The sequence below is a fragment of the Homo sapiens genome, chromosome 3 (genome assembly GCF_000001405.40).
Source record: "Homo sapiens chromosome 3, GRCh38.p14 Primary Assembly".
Classification (NCBI taxonomy): domain Eukaryota; kingdom Metazoa; phylum Chordata; class Mammalia; order Primates; family Hominidae; genus Homo; species Homo sapiens.
Genome location: NC_000003.12, coordinates 39,896,537 through 39,918,826, shown reverse-complemented (window position 1 = coordinate 39,918,826; position 22,290 = coordinate 39,896,537). Strand labels below are relative to the sequence as shown.

The 22,290-nt window shown below is 38.3% G+C and overlaps 1 protein-coding gene across 6 annotated transcripts in view; it reads right to left on the bottom strand.

Moving 5' to 3' along the window:
- Nucleotides 1-22,290, bottom strand: part of MYRIP (myosin VIIA and Rab interacting protein) — a 451,408-nt gene that overhangs the window by 341,495 nt on the left and 87,623 nt on the right. For all 6 annotated transcript variants that reach the window (NR_104316.2, NM_001284423.2, NM_015460.4 and 3 more), the window contains exon 2: nucleotides 17,901-18,040. Coding sequence is in view for 4 of the 6 variants with exons in the window: in NM_001284423.2 (NP_001271352.1) it covers nucleotides 17,901-18,010 (110 nt within the window). In the remaining 2 variants the exon portion in view is untranslated. The remainder of the gene's footprint in view (nucleotides 1-17,900; nucleotides 18,041-22,290) is intronic.

Sequence of the window (22,290 nt, the reverse complement as noted above, 5' to 3'; positions counted from 1 at the left end):
CTCCTCTTCTCTCCCTCCTATAACCTATCTTGACACCACAACCTCACTTACCACCATAACCTGTTTTTTGGTCATGCTCTGAGTCCCCATTCTTTCTGTAATCCCAAGATGATATAAAAGCATCAACCATCTTATCTTTCCTTGAGATCTTCATAAGACTTTCATGCACATTAATAAATTTGTATGCCATTTCCCCTATTAATCTGTCCTTTGTTAGCTGATTTTCAGCAAACCTTCAGAGGGCGAAGGGGAAGTTTTCCCTGAGCCCCTACACATAGAATGAAGCAATGGCACAGCTCAGGCCTCATTAGGCAGGATGGGGAATGAGGCCCAGGTGGTTGCGGGATACTCACCCTTCAAGATATAAAAGACAAGTTAGGCACTGCAAAATGGATGACTAGGGGTAACTCTCACAGCTTCAGGGGTTGACCACACATGAGCATTCAGGGAAGAGGGTCCTCTGGCAGAGGCTAAGGCATTGATTTATAACAGTCTGCCATTGCTAACTTTAAATAATCAGAGTTAGAAAATATGATTAAATATAGAGTTTATTTGAGCACAAATTTGATGCTGGCCTCCTTGGGAATATAGATTTTTAAAGAATGGAAGTCAGGGCCGGGCGCGGTGGCTCATGCCTGTAATCCCAGCACTCTGGGAGGCCGAGGCGGGTGGATCACGAGGTCAGGAGATCGAGACCACGGTGAAACCCCGTCTCTACTAAAAATACAAAAAATTAGCTGGGCGTGGTGGCGGGCGCCTGTAGTCCCAGCTACTCCGGAGGCTGAGGCAGGAGAATGGCGTGAACCTGGGAAGCTGAGCTTGCAGTGAGTCGAGATCGCGCCACTGCACTCCAGCCTGGGCGACAGAGCAGCGAGACTCCGTCTCCAAAAAAAAAAAAAGAATGGAAGTCAGTAATCCAAAGTGGAGAAGTTTTGGAGGTTATTTATATAGATAAAGTTTGGAAAGTTTAATAGAATCTTAATACTTTTTAATATAAGGCTTAACATTAAGTTATAATGATCTGATTGGTCAAGAAGATCTTTTCATGAGAAAGGTATATTTAGCATTTTATGCTACAGATGTAACAGACTTGGGGTCTTGGGCATCATCTGGTCTGAGTTAGGCATATGACAATAAAGAAGGCAGCTAATCTATAATAAAGGTCAGTGATTTGAAGGGAAGGAGGTCTAGTCTCTGATCTCTCTTAGTCATTTACAGAATGAGAACAATGAGAGAGTTAATTCATAATCTAAGAAGCAGAAGTTGCAACTACATGTTATGTGACTCAGATCACAGTCACATCTCTCTCAAGGCTTAAAGTGTTTTGGAAGTTTCAACAGCTTTTTTTTTTTTAATTTTCCTATTTTTTTATTTTTTTTAAATTTTCTTTCAAAGAAAGCATCCTAGATAAACCCAGTAGTTTTGACTCTTTTTATGTTTGTGTTTAGTTTCACTTTGCTATGAAGGCTCATTTCCAGAATGTCATGTTCCTGGCAATGAATAATTGGATAAGTTATAAAGTTGATGGAGTACAGGCTGAATTTAAAGTAACGTGAAGGAAGTGACTTGTTACATAAGTCAGACTAAGTGGCTGTATCTTTAATTAATGTAATCTTTTTGACTAACCATTATGTTATTCTTTTTAGTCATATGTATGTTGACTCTATTGTAAATGAATGTTGTATAAGTGAAGACAAAAACAGGATAAAATATAGTATATGATTATAATTTTTGAATAAGTAATAACTTTTGTCACCAAGTTTCCCAAGACTTAAACCAGTTACTTAGTCAATTGCTCAGGGAGAGTTTTGGCTTTAAATGGTTAGTTATTTGGGTTTTTATATCAGCCATTAATTTAGTGATGTTATTTGATTTGGGGTATTGAAATTTATGATAGTGCATGTTTTCCCTTGGGCTGTTGTATGTCTAAAGTCATATGGTTCTGTAATATAGCCTTTTTTATAGGAGTTACTTTATTGTTTAATAATAAGATATCTATGTGGCTATCATTTATGGCCGGTTTTATATTTGGTTAGGGCCTCTATATGTTAAATGACATTTTTAATATCTAGTTGTGGCATAAAGATGAAAGCTAAATGATTTAATCAGCTGAGTTTAGAATAAACCCAATAAGATTACAAATGAGGAAGGTTTGTGGGGTTTGAAATGGTATGCTTTGGTATGCTTATGTCCAAATATAACCCAAAGAACATGGTAACTATGGCCATAGATTGGTATCACACAGCCAAGGTGTTCTTTTTGGAGCTAGCCAATAAATGCTTGTTCATTGTGTCTATTTAGTGGCATGTCAATCAGTACTTTGTAATATAATGGCATGAATATACTGTTTGGGGGGTATCTATTTTATTTTCTTAGTGTTAGTTGGCCAGGTATCTTTGGTGTGATTTTTTTTTTTTTGTTCTCAATATAAAAGGATAAGCTGACTAAGCTGACCAGAGGAGCAAGCAAATCAGATAAAATTGTCCATAATTTGTGTTGTATCATCTTGAATTGAGCTGTCTTATCTTTTAGTTGAGACAGTGTTACTGTCTTACCTCTTAGTTGGAGCAGTGCCACTGTTAAAGCTAATGAACTGGGGTTTTTATTGAAAAATTTTTAATGTCTTATTTTGTAAGGTTTCATTAATAGATGAGTGATATATATTATCTTTAGACATATCAGTTCTAAGTACTGGTGACTGTTCTTGAAAAACAAAGATATATTTTTGATATTTTATTTAGTCTTTGGAGAGGAGATGTCTATCATGGTAGGACAGAACCCCTAGAAAGGGCATGGGGCCACATAACTAGCAAGTGTCTTTTTTCTGGCTATTAGCATAGTCTTGTGCCCACTGTAAGAAGAGATTGTGTTATAGGTAACAGTTGATAATAGTAGCATTAAAACATAAGAATTAGGGGAGGGGTGAAAAGAAATAAATTTAATGGGAACTTATAAAAGAAAATATTTTTCATCTATTAACGATTATTAATATCAACGATTTGTTTAGATATGGGCCTGGTCTAGTGTCTTGGGAAGGTTGGCTGTCTCAGATGTCATTTTTTTTTTTTGGCCTGGCATTGACCTATCTAATAATGAAGATTACCTTCTGGTGAAATCATCTATTTAGGAGATAAGATATATGAATTTAAGAGTCTATGTCTTCTAATTTTGCAGTGCAAGGGTTACTAGTAAGAATTACCTGATAAGATCCCTTTTACTTTGGTTGGAGAGAGTCTTTTAAAAGATACTGCTTTTAGTAAATAAAATCTCTTGGTTGAAATTCATGGTCTTTAAATTTTTGTCTCCCAGAAGCTCACCATGAAAATAATTTTTTATTAGTATATAATTTTTAGTTAGCTGCCATTGTAATAGTTGAATATGTCTCCATTTAATATCAGAGATGTATAATTTTTTGAGTGAATTTTATAGGTTTATCTGTTATAATTTTAAATGGAGACAACTGATGTCTATTAAAAGGGGTTGATCTTAGGTTATACAAAATCAATGGAAGAGCTTTTGGCCAAGGAATTTTTAAAGCCTCAGTTAATTTTGTCAATTGAGTTTTATTATTTAGTTTGTGTTTTTTACTAACCAGATGACTGGGGATAATAAGTATAATGGATATGTTGGAGGACGAGCCAGATTTTATATACTGATTGTACTGATTGAATTGTCTGTCTAGTAAAGCAAGTGACTCTGTTGCTAAGAAGTTCCAGGGGAGTTCCTCGAGTTAGAATAATTTTTTAAAGATAATTTTACTTACTGTTAAGGCCTTTGTTCTTCCATGTAGAAATGTTATGATCCAATGACAAAATATGTAAATCACCATTAGAACACATTTGCATTCTTGTGATGGTGGTAGCTGAATAAAATCTAAGTGTCATGCTGCAAAGGGGCCTTTATAGGAAGGGGAAAATGTCTTTGGGAACTGTATAAATTTTTTTATTACATTTTGGGCAAATGTGATAGTCATTATATATCTTATGATCTATGGCTGGAGAAATGTTTTAGAAATACCATTTTTCTCAACTATTTTATCAGGACTCCAGTGAGTTAAGTCATATATGTAGGTTTACAAATGATGACTGAAATGTAGCAGGAAGTATAGGTGCATTGGCCCATATACCTCATCTTTGGGAGGATATGTTCCTCCTTCTGTTTAGTTTTTTGCTTGCTTGCTTGGATTTTGGAGTTCTATACTTAAAAAGTTTCATGTCAAATTTAATGTTCTTTAGGTCACTGATATTAGAAGTTAATATAGATTGAAGTTAATATAGATTGTTTATTTTATTGTTTAGATGTATTTAGAGCAGCTTTTTTTGACTATATTATTGGCTAGTGTTTTGTCTGTTTTTTGGAGTATCTGATTTGGAATGAACTGGGATTTTAATAATGACCAGACATTTTGGTAATAATATGGCTTTTAACAATTGTATAATAAGGTATCTTTTTTAATGGATTGATCAGAAGATCTTTGTTTTATAGCACTTAAAATTTTTGAGCTATTCTGAAAGCATCTCTGCTGTCTGTATGCATATTAGCAGAGTTTTTTGGTCAGTTAACAGGCCCTAATTAATGTTATCCGTCTTATTTGTTGAGCCAAGGTGACTTCTGGTTTTATTTTTTCAGTTAAAGATATTGTACTGTAACCTGTGCGATAAGTTCCAGATTTAATTTTAAGTAGGATCTATCTGTAATCCACATAACATCAGTGTTACTAAGAGGAATCTCTTGTATGTCTGTTCTAGAAGAGCAAAGCTGGTTGCTTAAGATTATGCAACCATGCAGCATCTCATCTGAATGTAGAGGCAGAAGAGTGGCAGGTTATAGATGACTGCACCTAGAGATTGTAATGTGAGGTATAGAAAGAAGAGAAATTTCATAAGAAGCTAATCTGCTGATAGAACAATGTTGAGTGTGGTGTGAATTCACAAGTGCTTCCATAGAATGTGGAACAAAAACAGTGATGGGAAAGCCCATCACTATTTCTTCAGTTGTTCTTACTAATAGAGCAGTAGCAGTTATTGTCCTCGTGCAAGGTGGCCATTTTTTAGTCACAGAGTCTTGTATCCTTCTGGTCTGTTTTGGTCTGCACGTTTTTGTGTTAGACTGCCCTAAGGCATTGTATGATTTCATGAACAAACAATGAAAATGGAATATCATAACATGGGTGTCTCAAAGCTGGGGCATTTATAAAGCTTTTTTTAACTTCTTTCAATGTTAACTGATTTTTCTTAGTCCATTTCAGGGGTTCTAGTTTATCTTGTTCAGAAGAGTATATAAAAGCTGAGTTTTTAGGCAGAAGTTTGAAATTTAATTCTGATAGTATCTTGTCACCCCAGAAATCTTTTTAGTTGTTTTATAGTTTTGGGGGTCAGGGAAGGCCAATATACTGTTTAGGTGGATGAAAAGACCTTCCTTTGATATTAAATTACCCAAATATCTTTGTGTGACAAAACTAATGTGTTTTGTTTTGAGGCCTTGTGTCCCTTTAGAGCTAATGGTTATAACAAGTGAATCTCATCCTCTATAGAGGTTTGCCTATCCTCTAAGCAGAGAAGCAAATCATCTATGTATTGCATTAAAATAGATTTCTTACAGAAGTCAACATCTGAGAGACCTTTTAATATTTGTGAAAAATAAGTAGGGCTCTTAGTGTATCCCTGAGGCATGACTCTCCATGTGTATTTTCTGTCTTCCCAAGTGAAGGAAAAGAGAAATTGTCTTTATCTACAGGAATATTGAAGAATGTATTATATAAATTTATCACAGTAAATAATTTTTTTTAAGATGGAGTCTTGCTCTGTCACCCAGGCTGGAGTGCAGTGGTGCAATCTCAGCTTACTGCAACCTCCGCCTCCTGGGTTCAAGTGATTCTCCTGTCTCGGCCTCCTGAGTAGCTGGAATCACAGGTGCATGCCACCACACCTAGTTAATTTTTGTATTTTTAGTAGAGACAGGGTTTTGCCATATTGGCCAGGCTGGTCTCGAACTCTTGACCTCAGGTGATCTGCCTGCCTCAGCCTCTCAAAGTGCTGGGATTACAGGCATGAGCCACTATGCCCAGCCAAGAATTTACCTTTAGTTGATATTACAGTCAACAACGTATGGGGGTTTGGCACTACCAGATGATGAGGAATATCATTAATTTCTCTAAGTTCTCACACAAACCTCCATCCTCTACCATTTGGTTTTCTTATAGGAAGGACTGAAGTGTTATATGGGGTTGTACAGGGAATAATCAAGCCTCTTTTATATAGTCTAAAACTATACGTCTTATTCCTTCTAAAGTTTCTGGTTTTAAAGGATTTTGCTTAAGATTTGGAAGAGATTTTGTTGGATATATTTGAATTTTGATTGGAGCAGCTAAGATAATTTTTCCAACATCAGTGGAAGACTTTGACCATAATTGATTAGGTACTACATTTAGCAGTTTTTGTAACTTTTTATCACTTAATTATTTGGTGTCTTCTGTTTTCGTATTATTCTAGTACTAATTCCAGAGGTGGTCAGAACCAAACAGCCTGCCAACCTACTGGGCACATCACCATATCTGGAGAGCCAGATCCAGCTGGGTATGCAGGAGCTAGTCTCTTCCAGCCTGAGGTATAAGAATTAGCCAGGGAAGGGGTCCTAAGTCTTAGGCCCACACCCACCGATAGAGGAGAAGCTGACACAAAATGGGAGCCTGTAAGTCAGACCAGCAGGGGGAAGGTGAGCACAGAGGGCTGGGACCAGGCCAGGGAGGCTGGCTCTCCTGGCAATTTAAGGCAACCTGGTTTCCAGCCAAAAAAGTCTTTGGGCTAGGACAGGAATCTCCCCATCTGGGAGAAGGAGAAGAAGCTCATTATAAGTCACCCTGACAGTCAGGGAGAGGTTGTTGATGAATTTCCTTCTGCAGGTATCAGGTTCAGAAACGGACCAGGAGGTGGATCTGTTGGCTTCAGAAGCTGAGTAAGGAGGGGAAGGCAGCCCTTTAACCCTGAGGCAGGAAACTGCCCCCAGGCACTGAAGGAGCCTGTGAGAACAAGTAAGTTGTCATGCCACCAGCACAGCACAGAGAGAGGAAGAAACTCTGATTTCCAGGCTGTTCATTGTGCTTACCTCCTCTGCGTTTTCAGGCCATTTCTGGCTAAAGGATTTTGTACATTCCTGAATTACTGTAAGTGAGAAAAGCTACTTTTTCAAATTGCTGTGGAAACTTTCCTCCTTGCTCCCTTTCAAGTCCTGAATTCTATGCACATGTAATGCCAAAGAAATGCTTTCCACAGCCAGAGGTCTAAGAAATGAAGGTCAGGCCAAGAATTAAGGCCACAAAAGCTTTATCAGGGCCCAGAAGCTGAGTCTCTGGCATTTGCAGTGGAAAAGTAAATAAGATCAGGAACTTGGAGCCATAAAAGCAACCTAGTAGAAAACTGTTATTAAAGAAAGTGGGATTATGGGGAGAACATATTTGAATCTCCAAATTAGTAACTGTACATCTTTGAAGGACCACAAGTTAAAAAGCAAATAAGAGCATCAGCATGATTCCTTTTTCTACATTACAAGCACACTTGTAACATCAAACTCTCCTGACCATTTCTAAAGGCAGACCCCACAGGTGAATGTCTGATAACTTTACGGCGCCAAAGATGTGATATAAATTTTGAATAGTGGGCCATTCTAAAGCCATGTGTTATTTCAAAGGTCATGAAGTATTTGGTCAACCATTAACTTCAGGGAAACATGAAAGGGTTCATTCTGTCCTGAGATGCATAAACTCTTTGTCATGAATATGGCATGGACACAGTATGCTTTTTTTTAAACTGTGTAATAAACCCAACACTGAGGCATGACTCAGAGACCACCTTCACGTGACAGAGACAACAATATTTGATAGCAAAGGCCAATATCTGACTAATTAGCTAAAACTTTAGCTGGCTCTTACAGATACCTAAAAACCACATATAAAAAAGGAATAATCCTAAACAAAATTGGGAAAGAAAGCTTACTTTTTGGTTTAATAAATCCCAAACTGCTTAATCTTGCATTTCAGACCAGCACTGTCCAATAAAAATATAATGTGAGCCATATATATAATTTAAAACTTTCTAGTAGCCACATTTTAAAAAGTAAAAAAAAGTGAAATTAACTTTAAAAATATATTTAAGATGTAATTTTAGAAACATTTCAATGTGTAATCAATATAAAAATTATTGAGCTATTTTACATTTTTTATACTTGATCTTTGAAATCTAGCATTTATTTCACACTTAGACTACACCCCAATTTGGATAAGACATACTCAAAGTGCTTAATGCCACATGTGGCTAGTTGGCTACTGTATTGTCCCAACTACACACTTCTCATATACTGACTTAAACCCTACCACTTTCCCATCCCTGAACACATCCCAAGTTTTAGCAAGCACAGGTGCCAGATTTTCCAAGATGGTCCTAATTTCATCTATTCTATCCCACGGCACCTGAATGTCCTTGTTTTCAGTACCAAGGGCAGTGTACTGCCTTGGTACTGGTCTCACTCTAGGGCTGCTCCGCCTGAGTTTGAATTCACTTCTTACTCTGTACAACTTGAGCAAATTATTTAACACCGTTTTAGAGCCTCGGTTCTCCCATTTTGTAAATAGATAAGAATATGCGGCCGGGCATGGTGGCTCAGGCCTGTAATCCCAGCACTTTGGGAGGCAGAGGTGGGTGGATCACAAGATCAGGAGTTCAAGACCAGCCTGACCAACATGATGAAATCCCATCTCTCCTAAAAATACAAAAATCAGCGGGGTGTGGTGGCACACACCTGTAATCCCAGTTACTCAGGAGGCTAAGGCAGGAGAATCGCTTGAACCCGGGAAGCAGAGGTTGCAGTGAGCTGAGATCTACCACTGCACTCCAGCCTGGGTGACAGAGTGAGACTCTGTCTCAAAACAAAACAAACAAACAAAAAAAAAGAACGTGCTTTTCCCAGGATTGTTGGGATAAAGGGAGATGATATTCCTGGAACCCCACACTCTATTCAATGCTATTAGTAACAGTGAAGTAGAATTATCTTCAAAACAGTCTCTTCCTCCCCTGCCCCACCACAGGTCCTGATTTGGGGTTGTGAAAACATGTTCCCTTTTCTATCCATATTACTTTACCCAGGATGCTCCCTGCTGCTCAGACCTATGTGTCAATCCACTAAAAAATCCAGTCCATCTTCAAGGGTCAAATCAAACACACCTCTCCTTCAGGAAGTCTTTTCCTTTTCCTAGCCCCCTCCTCTAAGACAGATGTATTCCCATGAGTCTGCCTTAATATCTTTATTTCTCATTGTCTATAGCATCCTAATTATTCATATAGGATTTAGCTCATCTTTTGGACTCTTCTTCAAGGGCTAATAACCTTACTAAATTTGTGAGTCCCCTACTGCCCTTTCACCCCTTTCATATTTGCCCAGAAGGGTCCTGACATTCAAAATATGATTTTGAAGCAAATTAATAAATACCCAACAGCTTTGGATTAATATTGGCCTTCCATTATTGACAAAAATACCAATACTAAGACAGAGTTTTAAAAATAATCTTGTGAGATACCTTCTAGCTTTAAGATCAGTCCTCTCCACTCTCCTTTCTGCGGCCTGCGCACCTGCCCTCCATGAGTCTCCAGGCTCTCTCCCCAGGTCTCCCAGTTCTGTCTCCTCCTAGGCCTTCCCCCATCACAAAGTGATCTCAACCAGAGCTGTGTCCTGCCTCCCACTGCACCATTAAATGCACCTGCTCTCAACTCTGATTTTTCAGGGCACTGCCAGGTGACCTGATCTACCAATCCCATCGAAGGAACTACCTTGGAGCATCCCCACTGAGACAGCAGATTCATTAACTGGGCAGGTTAATGCCAAAGTGTTAGTACAGAATATCAAAGAGCTACAAAAGGCCATGAGGAGACCTCAGGCAAATGCACTCTGTGCACACACAGTTATTTCACAAACCATAAGGCATATTTCTTCTAAAGACAAGGTGATCTGTCTTCCAGCTTCAGGGAAGGATATAAGCAGAAGTATTTGCTAATTCATTAGCTTAATTTAAGTGTTCAGAACAAAAGACAGTAAAAACAAAGGAATGTTACTGTTTGAAATAGAAACTTTTTGAGTTTCTACTAAGTTCTTATAATAAAATTTTTGTTTAAAATGAAAATAAATCTTGAATGAAGAAAGATCACTAACTCATTTTATTAAAGTACCATGTTCTTTCTACTTTAAGAAATGGTGATTAATCCTCAGAGGAGTCTCTGTGTCACTGACTAGAAACACAAATTATTTCTAGATTTTGAGAAAGGCTTTGCTTCCTCATAGTGGGTCTCCAACAAACCCTGGCAGCTCTTATTTATTTTCTCAGAACACTTAGACCTGAGCAATGGGGGGGGTGGAAGATTACCCCTGGAGGTGGCAAGGAAGATGTGGGCCACATCTGCAAGTGAGTAATGGTACCATTATGGGCAACAGAAACAGGTCTCAAAAGCGTTTATTTCCCCTTCCTTAACACAGGCCAGAAGAGGAGCTGACACATCATAGCTGCTGGGCTGTGGCAGCTGCGCCTGGGAAAGACACAGCAGGAAGTGCTATCTCACACTCACTGCCCTCTGCTCTCCCTTCCTTCCCCTGGCCCAGCCTAGGCGCCAGTCGCAGTTACAGAAAATAATTGCATCCAGTCTAACCCCTGCTACTCCACAGACCAAGTCCATTAGAGCACCAGCAACCTTTGGAAGTTATCCAAATGCTAACTAGCTTTTGGCAAGCACATAGTAAATGAGAAATTTTAAAGCCTGTGGCTATCTCATCAATGACTCCAAGACTCAGTTTGAACACCAGAGGATTGTACAATTAACAGTCATTTTTAAAACCACTTTGTAAATGTTCCTGATGATATAAAATCATAGTGCATAAACTGTGATTCCAGTTTAGGTCTGGATATCTTGCTGCAGGTGTCTTCTACTACCTGAGAGGCCCAATGGCAGACGACACGGAGCCCTGGCATCAGGAAACTCAGGTCGCATCCAGACTCTACCACTAACTGCCTATGCACCCTCTGAGCGTGTTTCTTCATCTACAAGTCAAAGGTTGGGGCATAATAAATATTTGGCTCTCTTTTAGCTCTCAAAAACTCTATTACTTAGAGTAATACTAGGCTATGTCGCTGTGAGAAATAAACCCCAAGGCCTCAATGACTTAACCCAATAAACCCACACAAAGTCTCCTGCTGATCATCAGAAACTCTCTTCCATCCAGTGTCAAAGGGATCAGGCTCTCTCCATCATGTGGTGCCATGTTTCCACACAAGGCCTCCAAGGACACCACAGAAGGCGAGGGGAGAGGTAGTAGAGTCACACCAGCTCTTAAGTGCCCCGACCTGGAAGTAATACAGGCCCTTCCTCTCACTGTCGATTATCCAGACCTAATCACATGGCTGCAATCTAACTGCAGAAGGCACTGGGAATATGCATGAGCACATAAGATATTTGGTGAGCACTGTTTATCTCTGCCACACAGGTGACAGTCTATTTACTTATTTTAATAATTTAATCTATCTATATATTTATACTGATGAAACATCATGATATGCTACACTGTAGATGTGAAGAAAAAGTTCTTAAAATTTTGTCTGCCAGATACACAGAAAGGCAGATGGAGAGGAGGGAACATGGCCTTTGATGATGAACACTAAACCAAATGCCCAACACCCAAGCAGACACAGTCCATGGGGTACTCAGGAGTTCGGTACTCAAGAGTTACCATGGGGAGACCAATGCACTCCAATTGATGCCAGGCCTCCTCTATCTGAGTCACACAGGAAGCACTGGGGTCCAACAGAGGGAAACAAGTCTTAACCTCTCCCACCCCTAATCACACTGAACCTGGATGGTCTGCCTGCTAGTCTGTTGATAGCCTAGGAAGCTGTATTTTGCATTTCTTCTTCCAGTCAGTGCCTCTTCTCTTCTCCAAGACTTTATTTCTGCCATGAACAATGTCATCAAAAACATGCTTGTCCAAAAGCTGTCCAACAGTACCTGGTGCAGCTATAAATACCACACTGATCCCAGCTGAGGGCCCCACACTCCCACTCAAATACTAGTAGAAATCTGGTAGTTGGGTAAGACTTTTGAACATCATGGACTTAAATGTGGCATAGGTGCCCGGTTATTTTTTTCTACTATTTGAAAATTTCTCAAGAGTTACATAACTGAGAGAATAAAGGTATGGAAAAAGTCATATGACATAGATGATATATTTCATTACTGGGAAAGCATAACTGCTATAGACAAAGTTGAAGATACTGTGTTGTTATGCTAATTTATTATTTCCATTGAATTCTGTTTAGGCACTCAGTATGTTTAGCCATACTCTCCTAAATGGAGGAACACTAGAAGCAGAGAGGGCAATCAAAGCTAAGTGTAGAAACCTGAAAGTTCATGAAAAGATATGTTCTCAGTAGGCAAGACCAATGCCTGCAATCATAGAACCTGGGGATAGAGCTGTTACAGAAAGAACACAGCCCATATCATGGGGTGCCTCACCCGTAGAGGCTCTATCAACAGAGATGAAGGAAAAGTCAGGGTGAAGTTTCCAGAAATGTCAACTTTCCTACAAATGGGACATGGTTAATGTGCAGCAATGACCCAGGCTTTGGGTCAAAATGAAGCCCAGAGGATTCATTTTGACCTCTGAGGCTCAGAGGTCAAATAGCCCAACATAATCATGATAATCATGATAGAAGGACTCATACCCATATCTGTTTGACCCCAAAGCATGCTCTGCACATATGCTGCACACCGGGAGTGCTTTCCACCTCTGCACGCTCCCCAGGATCCTCACATGACCTTGACTAGTAAGCAAGTTACTGTGGAATTTAGATTCCAGATGACAGACAAAGCAAACACTTAATGGCCTCTGCTCCCTCTCAAGACCACTTTCCAATAATAGCAAAGAAATAAAAACAATTAATTCATAATGGTAAAGAGAAAAGGAAAAGAACAATCAGATACCTGCTAACTTCAATAAAGCTCTGAAAAAGATGGAGAGGTAGCGGTAAACAATGTTAATATTTTCAATCGTAACTATATAAGGGCTACAACAGTTAGAATCATCCTATGAACAAAACAGGAGACTCAAATATGTTTTTGGAACAGCGGGTGAATGCCCCAACCTTGTATGTATGAGAGTAAAGCTATTATAGGGAAAGCTGGGACACAGGGCAGAAGGAGGTAAAGAGGTAAAGACAGGGACACTATTTGAATGTTGCACTGTCAGAACTGAAAAAGAATGGCAAACATTGACAGAACAAGACTCAGAGGTTTCCATCTATTATTTAAGTTTGAAAGATGACTAGTAGAACACCAAGCCAAAAATAATAATATAATCATCAAGAAACAAAAGACAAGGGTAATATAAGTAAGTGAGCTAAGTCCCCAATTTCAGAGCAGAAAACTGAAAGAATGTCTAATACTGATATATTGAAATATAGCAACAGAAGCACATGTTTAGATTTATGAAGGTCATGCCAGGAGGTCTAAAGGACCAAGAACTAAATATGGAGCAGAGGACTTAGGCTTTTCATTATAAGGTCTTCTTTACCATTTGCATAATTTTACTATTTGCCTGAAATCATCTGATAAAAAAGAAACACAGAAAATAAAATTAACCAAGTACAATATGAACTTTTTGACACATTTACTTGAGTAATCTAGATAAAACCCAAAGCACCTGGAGGTAGGAGCAGGCGTCACCATGCCTTTTGTTTCCAGCATCCTCCATCCATAGTGTTAATCCTGTTGTGTGTCTTGGAGAAATGGAATCAACACTTACTCTACTGAATTTGTAAATAAGTCCTCACCTCCAGTATCTGGTATTGCCTGTCTACTATTCTCAGGCCTATCAATTCTCTATCTTCCCCCAACAGTCCTGCTATAAACATATAGCTTTAATGACATTAAAAATTCAATGCATCACATCCCCAGTGCTGAGAAAGTGTCTCATCTTACTGACATGGGGTTGACAGAATCACTTTACATAGTGAGGCCTGTGACTACCTACACACAGCAGCTGATATCTACACACCAACCACGATGTGCCTCTGCTCACTGTGAGCTGTAGCAGACAGTGGGGGATAGTAGGAGTCCTGTAAAGAATGAGGGCTGTAAGCTTTCCCCAGTGTCCTTCTCCACTTACCTGCCAGAGCCAGGACAGTCACATTGCCCCTTCCATATGGGTAACAATATCACATCCATTCTAAATACATGCTTTTGGGAAATAAAAAAAAACACGACCAGGCGCAGTGGCTCATGGCTGTAATCCCAGCACTTTGGGAGGCCGAGGTGGGCAGATTGCCTGAGCTCAGGAGTTCGAGACCCACCTGGGCAACATGGTGAAACCTCATCTCTACTAACATACAAAAAATTGGCCAGGTGTGAGAGCTTGCACCTGTAATCCCAGCTACTCAAGAGGTCGAGGCAGGAGAATTTCTTGAACCCGGGAGACAGAGGTTGCATCGTGCCACTGCACTCCAACCTGGGCAACAGAGTGAGACTCTGTCTCCAAACAAACAAACAAACAAACAACAAACAAAGAAAAACACTTAGCTATGAATTTTTAAAAAATTTAAATAGCAGAATTTGGAAAAGATCTAAATTGTTATCAAAGGACCATATTAAAGGGGGAGAAAATTACAACAAAACTAAGCTCCAAGTCTAATCAGCCTAACCATAAAATGACAAACTAAAAAAGTAAAATATTATCAGAGACACCAAATACCATGCTTGCCTTCTGAATTATCTCAGAAATAATGACAAAATTAAGCGGTTTAAGATTCAAAACAACCAGACTAATGAGTGGACCTTGTTTGGATTCTGATTTGAACACATTGTAGAAAAAAGATAGTTGGATAAATTTACTGGACATTAGATGATACTAAGGAATTATTTTAAGGAGGGAGGGAGAGTAAAACAGTTTTGAAATGGTTTAACCCAGTCTACGTAATGGAGAGAATCTGGAAAACAAAATACTGGCCCTACTCCAATTAACTGTGTGATTCTGAGCAAGCTTTGTAATCTCTCTGTTCTTGGATGCCTCCATGTAAGCTGGTGCTAACATTATAGTGACTTTAGTGAGGAATCAATAAGATAAATTGTGCAGTACCCAGGGCAGTGCCAGTTCAAGCTGACTGCTTTATACATTTTAGTTCTCTTTCCATGAATTCTTCATCCCCATTATCCCTCTTTACATTACCATGATGTGTTCTGAGGACACTTAATTCACACTCCCACCTCCTATTTACTATTACACTTAACGTCTGAACTGAAGAACAGATCATTATAAACACTGGATAAGCTCTACTACACTCAAGACCTAACCTCACAAAACCTAGCCAGAGAAACTAGGTAAATAAAGAACAGCTGGTCGGGGGAAAAGGAAACTAATTCAAGATTGTAAAATTTAAAAAAGTCTTCTATTATGAGTTATACATTCATTAAAGGAAAATACTTTCTATAATTCTAAAATACTTTCAAAGTTCAGTTCAATAATACTACCTCCTAGATTCTTTCACATACCCAAAATTCAAGCAATATAAAAAGGTGAGGCAAATGTTTGGCAATTTCAGTGGTTTTGCAGTGTCATAATCTTTTTATTCGACAGTAATATTCTTTGCTGGAATCATTCAGAATGTCACCTCAGTTTGCTAGGTAGCTATCAAGGCATGTCACTGGTCATGGGCAGAGGACAATAGTAACAACTGTCTTCAGAGAAAAAATGTCCAGTTCCAGTGCCACAAGAGCTGCCATGGCAAGCAGTCATTCCTCTTTGGCCACTGGTGATTTCAAGCATCATTTTCTCCATTATAAGCAGGTTCCCATAACCATGCATTTTCACAGAATTGCAGTAGGCTACTGACTGCTGTCCACTAAGACTACCTGTCCTCATGAGATAGACGGTGCCCATTTTGTTGGGTCTACTACAGTGACAGCTGCTCTTTCTTTAAAATTTTCCTCCTCAAACCAAGCCCTAAAGCTGCTCTTCCACATGGACTGGCACCTGACTCTGCAATGGAGCTAAGGCAAGTCTCCACAGTCAGAAAAGGACATTAAACAAGGTCTTGGCTTATCCATATGTGAGTTTCCAGGAGATGAAGCATGACACACAGATGGTCTTTATGATTTAAAGGAAATATTAAGGTGGATTCTTCAAACCACACATGAAGTTAGTCATATGGATTGACAATCAATCTACATGTATCCATCCATTCCACAGAGGTTTAGGGCACACCCACGGTGTGCCAGGCCCTGTGTCCAGAGATTGGGGCACAAAACTGATCAAGACATGGTTCTTTCCAATGGTTCAGTAGAGGAAAGAGGCTGAAAGATACAGGGAAAACACTACCATGTAGAAACTGGTCTCAATGTAAAATAGTGACCACAAACTTCAAGTTGGTCTTAGCGCTGCCAAGCAACTGTACTAGTTTCCCTGCTCCATCTACTCTCCTATTGTTCTGGTGACCTTTTCCATGACATTTTAATTTCCAACTTGGACCTCCCACTTGATTCCTAGTTGCAAATACATAAATGCCAAGTTGGCATCTCCTTTGGATGTCCAATATTCATCTCAAATTGAAGATGCCTGAGACAGAGCTCTCAACTTTACCTGGCTACAAAATACCCTGCTCCTCTGTCTTTATATTCAGTGAATGACAACTTCATTCTTCAGTTTCCTATGCCAAAAAACCTTGGGGACGTCCTTGACTCTGTTCTCTTTTATATTCTATATGTAAATATGGAAATTCAGGATTATGCCAAAGCTCTACTCATGCCCTTTCTCACTCAGCTTAAAACTGGTAAATCTTTCCTACCACCAAAAAGGGATTGTTTTCCTTCTATCTCGGAGTACCTCAGACTTTATACTTCTTGGCAATGTTATGTCCCTTGCTAGGCTATAAGCACCTTAGTGTAATCTTTATTTCCACCATTTTTTGGTCTCACATATAGTATATATTAAATATATACTTGTTTGATGAAAGACAAGAAATCTATTAATAATTAATTGATTTAAAACTGTGCTGGGCACTGTTCTAGCTGTTGGATAATCAAAGTGAGCAAAACAGGTTTTTGCTTAGTGTCTAAGGAAGAAGATGGTGCTGTGAATAAACCCATGGAATCCCAAGGAATAATAGGTTTTATAGATGAGGGAGACTAATACTGACCTACCATCAGTTTCAATACATTAGGCCTAACACATGACCTCATTTCTATCACTCTGACTTCTTCCAACTTAGGCATAGTTGGAACTGACCTGCCATAGTATTTCCAAGAGCCTTTCATGGGGAAATATCAACTGCAGAGGAGTCAGGAGACTACCTCTTCAGGCTTCAGTTTCCTCTTCTATAAAATGAGGGAAGTGGTGCTAAGCCAGGTGATCCCATCCCAGCCTGGTGGTCAGTTTCCTTGTATCTGATCTTCAAAGCTCTTTTCCTGTGCTACAGTAGCTGAGAGTTTAAACAGAACATTGTACATGCATGAGACTCATTCTCACAAGAACTGTTCACTTAACACTTTGGTTATCCTTCAATAAGACCTGCCAACAAAAAACTAAGGCCAAGAGGAAGCTCAAGGCAGCGTGTTCACCACAAGCTCCACTCATTCTATAGCTAGTAATGACATACAGGGTCAGAAGTCCCAACAAAACCCTGATTGGGACCGTGAGCAACACATTTCTGAACTGACATTTCTGAAACTGGCAAACCTTTCTACAAAGGACAGGACATTCTGACAAACATAAGTGTATATCCAAACTCAGGGCTAGCAGGAGGGAATACCCTCAGGAAACCTGTTACGCTTGTCCACATGTGGTTTGCTGTACGCTGCTGAGCAAAACAGGCATCTCACCTTAGTCGTTCTTCTTCTTTTTTGCGAAGATTGAAGTCTCTTTGAACCACCTGAAGAACATGCTCTGTTTCATCATCAGTCAAACCAGACAGGTCCAGCTTCCTCCCCATGGTTACTCAACACAGATGATGAAACAAGACCTGGGAAACCAAAATGATACAAGCAAGATAAAATCTCTACATGGACAAAATCAACCTATTTTGTTATTAAAATAGAGTTAAATATAGTGTTTATATGTAAGTGTTTATGTAAGGTAGTATCTTTCTCTTGACTCAGACTCAGCAAATATTTACAAATGACCTCACCAAGGCCACAGAGAAAAAGAGAAAATAATGGGTCATTTGCCAGTTTCATCATCCCAATTCTTAAATTAAGAAAAAAAAATTCTTTATAACAAAGTGAACCATACATAAGACTTAGTATGGATTTCTGCAAAATGCCAAAAGGCAATATCTAAAAGTTCTAAACTTTTGTGCTTTGAAGTTCTAAATGTTAAGTATTATATGTAACTGCAAAATAATACAAACAAAATAATTATTTTATAAAAATAAAAATATGTTAATTTATAAAAAAAATTATAATACTTTAAAAAAATCCTATGTATAATATATCCCTTAAAGTTTTAACCATATGACTATGAAATACAAACTAAAAATCAATAAGTTCTCTTCTTCAAAAGGATAAAAACATAAATAATCTTATTTTGCCATTTTCTCAGCAGCAGCAAAGATGATATTGTAGGGAAACACCTCTAAGCAGTACATACCTAAAAATTATGGGAAACTCTATTTTTAAAAATAATTGTTGGCTGGGCACAGTGGCTCAAGCCTGTAATCCCGGCACTTTGGGAGGCCGAAGTGGGCAGATCACCTGACATCAGGACTTCAAGACCAGCCTGGCCAACATGGTGAAACCCTGTCTCTACTACAGATCCAAAAATTAGCTGGGCATGGTGAGCGTCGCCTGTAGTCCCAGCTACTTGGGAGGCTGAGGCAGGAGAATCGTTTGAACCTGGGAGGCAGAGGTTGCAGTGAGCTGAGATCGCGCCAGTGCACTCCAGCCTGGGTGACAAAGCGAGACTCCATCTCAAAAAATAGAAATGGCAAATAAGCATATGGAATAATGCTTAATTTCAATGGTAATTACAGAACTGCAAATTAAAACTATATTTTACATCCACCAAAATGAAAATTTATATCAAATGTTGGTGGGAAGTGGGACAATGACAGTTTTCATTTGGGGGTATAAATTGGTGTAATCTCTTTGTAATACAATCATGTTTCATTTTAAAAGTTGAAAATTTATATACCCTATAAATCAGCATTTCTGCCACACTTAGGTATATGCTTCAGATATAATCTTAAAAATATACACCAGACATCAATTGGGTTGTATCATATGAAATTTTTAGTTTGGATCATTGACCTATAAAAATGGCGATTTCACATAGTTAACCTAACAGAAGAATAGTAACAATAGTCACATTCAAAATAGCAAAAAATAAATAAATAAATAAATAAGACTGGAAAAACACTAAACATCCATAAATAGGAGGAATGATTTAAAAAATAGGGCATATTTGTTTTATACAATAGAATATTCTACCACAGTGGCAAAGAACATACAATAGGTACATTCATCAACAGGGATAAATCTTAACATAATGTTGAGACAGAGAAGCACACCACATGTACAGAATACATGTACAGCATGCATACAAGTATTATTTTTTTTTAGATCATAAGGGTCAAAAACATAGAATGTCAAAAAATTATTGTCTAGGAATAAGTGTGGTAAAACCAAAGTGGAATGTGGTACTTCTAAGGAGAGGAGAGAGGATTTCATTGGGAATAATCACATAGGGGCTTCAGAGCTATCAGTAATATTCCATCTCATTAGAGAGACACAGTATTGCTGCTGCTGCTTCACCTTGTTATTAAAAGGTTGAAGTCATGCATACTATTGTCCTTAAGGTATCTTTCATAAGCATAAAATAAACCTAAAACTAAATAAAAATAATATAATCTATAAAAATCATAACTAAAGCAAATACTTAAAGCATTGTTCAAGGAATATGCTTATTATTTACAATAAAAATAACAATAATGATTATAATAGATCACTATTTGACTGGATATCTACTATGTTCCAGATGCTCTAGTTTATACATACATATAAACTACATTTATAAATGTATATGTAAATTTATACATTCCCATAAAATCCTATTGACAGTCACTACCACCACCATTTACAAATGAGAAAACAGGTCAATATATATTATGTCTAAGACAATGGCAACCTGGGATTTGACTGTGTCTTGGTCTGACTCAGAGTCCCTGCCTTAATATCATGTAAATGCTTTCTAGTTTTAAAACCTCAGGTTTTAAAATCTGATGTCCAGAGTTCCCTGCCCCCTTTTTCTAGCCTGTAATGATTAAGAATAGGAGACCCCAAGCATGGTTGCTATTTAAAAGAAGGTTATCTGCCCTTTTCATTTCCAAATAATGGTAGTAAACATAGAGAAAGGAACAGCTCAATCCCCAGAAATCTTTTGCTAGATGATTTAAAACCTTATGACTGCATAATGCGAACCAATCTCAAGATTTAACCAACAAATCACAACAGGAATTCCAACTATTTTTTTAAAAAATTTTATTTTTCACTCCATTAATGCTATTTCTCAAAAGTAAATTGTCAGTCCACTTTGCCCAAGTGGTGTTAGGGTTGAGGGCAGGAAGAAACCTAATGTACTTGCACTAGGTTTCAGTTAAGTCAATTAGAAGTAACATCCTACCCACAGACTGCAAAGGCAAGGGAAGAAGCTCATGGGCTGCCATCTTCTAGCTTCCTGATGAGCATAAAGAGACAGACTAGAGGGCCCACTGAAAATGCAGACTGATTCTTCCTTTAAAAAGCCTCATTAAAGGTGTTAATGGCATTTTGGAGTTTCCTGGAAGGTGACATTTCTGTTCCTTTGACTTTATTTCACTGGCTTTTGGTTTCTGAGAATTCTAAATGAGATTCTAAGGAGCCCAGTTAGTGAAAGACTGAAGTGACAGCTTTGATCATATCAAACCTAAAAAAAAAAAAAAAAAAAGATCAGGACTTGTTTTTGTAAAGAAATAAATAAAATAGCTCCAAATGGACAAGTCAGAGACTGAGAAAACTTTCTTTAAATTGGTAAAAGCTTCTTCCTTTTTCTACAACAAACACAGTCAGAGTCCCTGTGCGACAAATGAAATAGCATCCTAGAGCTGGAGAAGGCTCGTGTCCATGAATAAGAGGTCACATAGGTATGACAATCTCATTTAAGGATGAGAAAATGCAATCAGTCCCAGGAGAGAGAAGCAGTTTCCCAAAGACACATAGCCAGTTCAGGTGCTCCTAACTTCCAGACCGGTGCCCCTACCCCTTGATTTCTCTGGTTTATAGCCAACCAACATGACAACAGAGAGGATATGTTTTTAAATTTACTAATGAGAAAATTAGTATGTCAATATTTAATTATATCACCACTTCCCTAAAGTGTGTTTCTCAGGTTATTGTTCCCACAAGCAGTTTGAGAAAGGGACTCTAAGGTGAAATAAATATGAGAAATGCTTCTAATTGTATTGCCTTCATGGGGCTTACACAAGACATATTAGCTTCTTGGAGCTTCTGGGAAGTCTATCAGAATCAATTTGCCTTTGCTTAACTCTGTGTTTCTCAAACATATATGTCTGCAGAAACCTCTTTCTTTGATAACATCTACCTTTTCACATCCAAAGAAATGACTATCTGGTAAACTCTACACTAAGTCAAAGCAATGATGACAAACTCCAGTAGCTATTCCAACATAATTACTGAATTGATTTAGCTATTTTTCAAATTTAATTATCATAAGAAGCAACAGAGTTAGATGAGCTTCAGAAGAAGCTGATGATGGATGCAACTTTAAAGCTAGGAGACCAAAACAAAGGCAGAATTGTCTATGTTATTCCTGGCTAAAATAACTAACATGAGGAAGGACACAGATGTGTCTACAGGTACTGGTTAATACAACCCTTGCAAATGAAAAAAAAAACAAAAACAGAGAAATTACAAGAATACTTAGTACATAATGGAAGATTCATTATAAAAGGTCAATGTGTACGTAAGTGATATTCTATTAAAGTACCTAGAAGGGTCAAGGACAAATGCTTAAATGGGATTTTCACAAACCCACAGTACATTTTTGTCTGTGTGATAATGCACCTGATATAAAGAGAAAAATAAAACTATAAATTCCTAAGAGTGATAAAGGGTAATTATTGCTGGGGCTTTGCACTTTGACCATGGTGGGTTTAGGTTAGAACTGAAAAGAAATTTCTTACAACTATAGAGAAACCTAAATGTTAAGACTCTCACA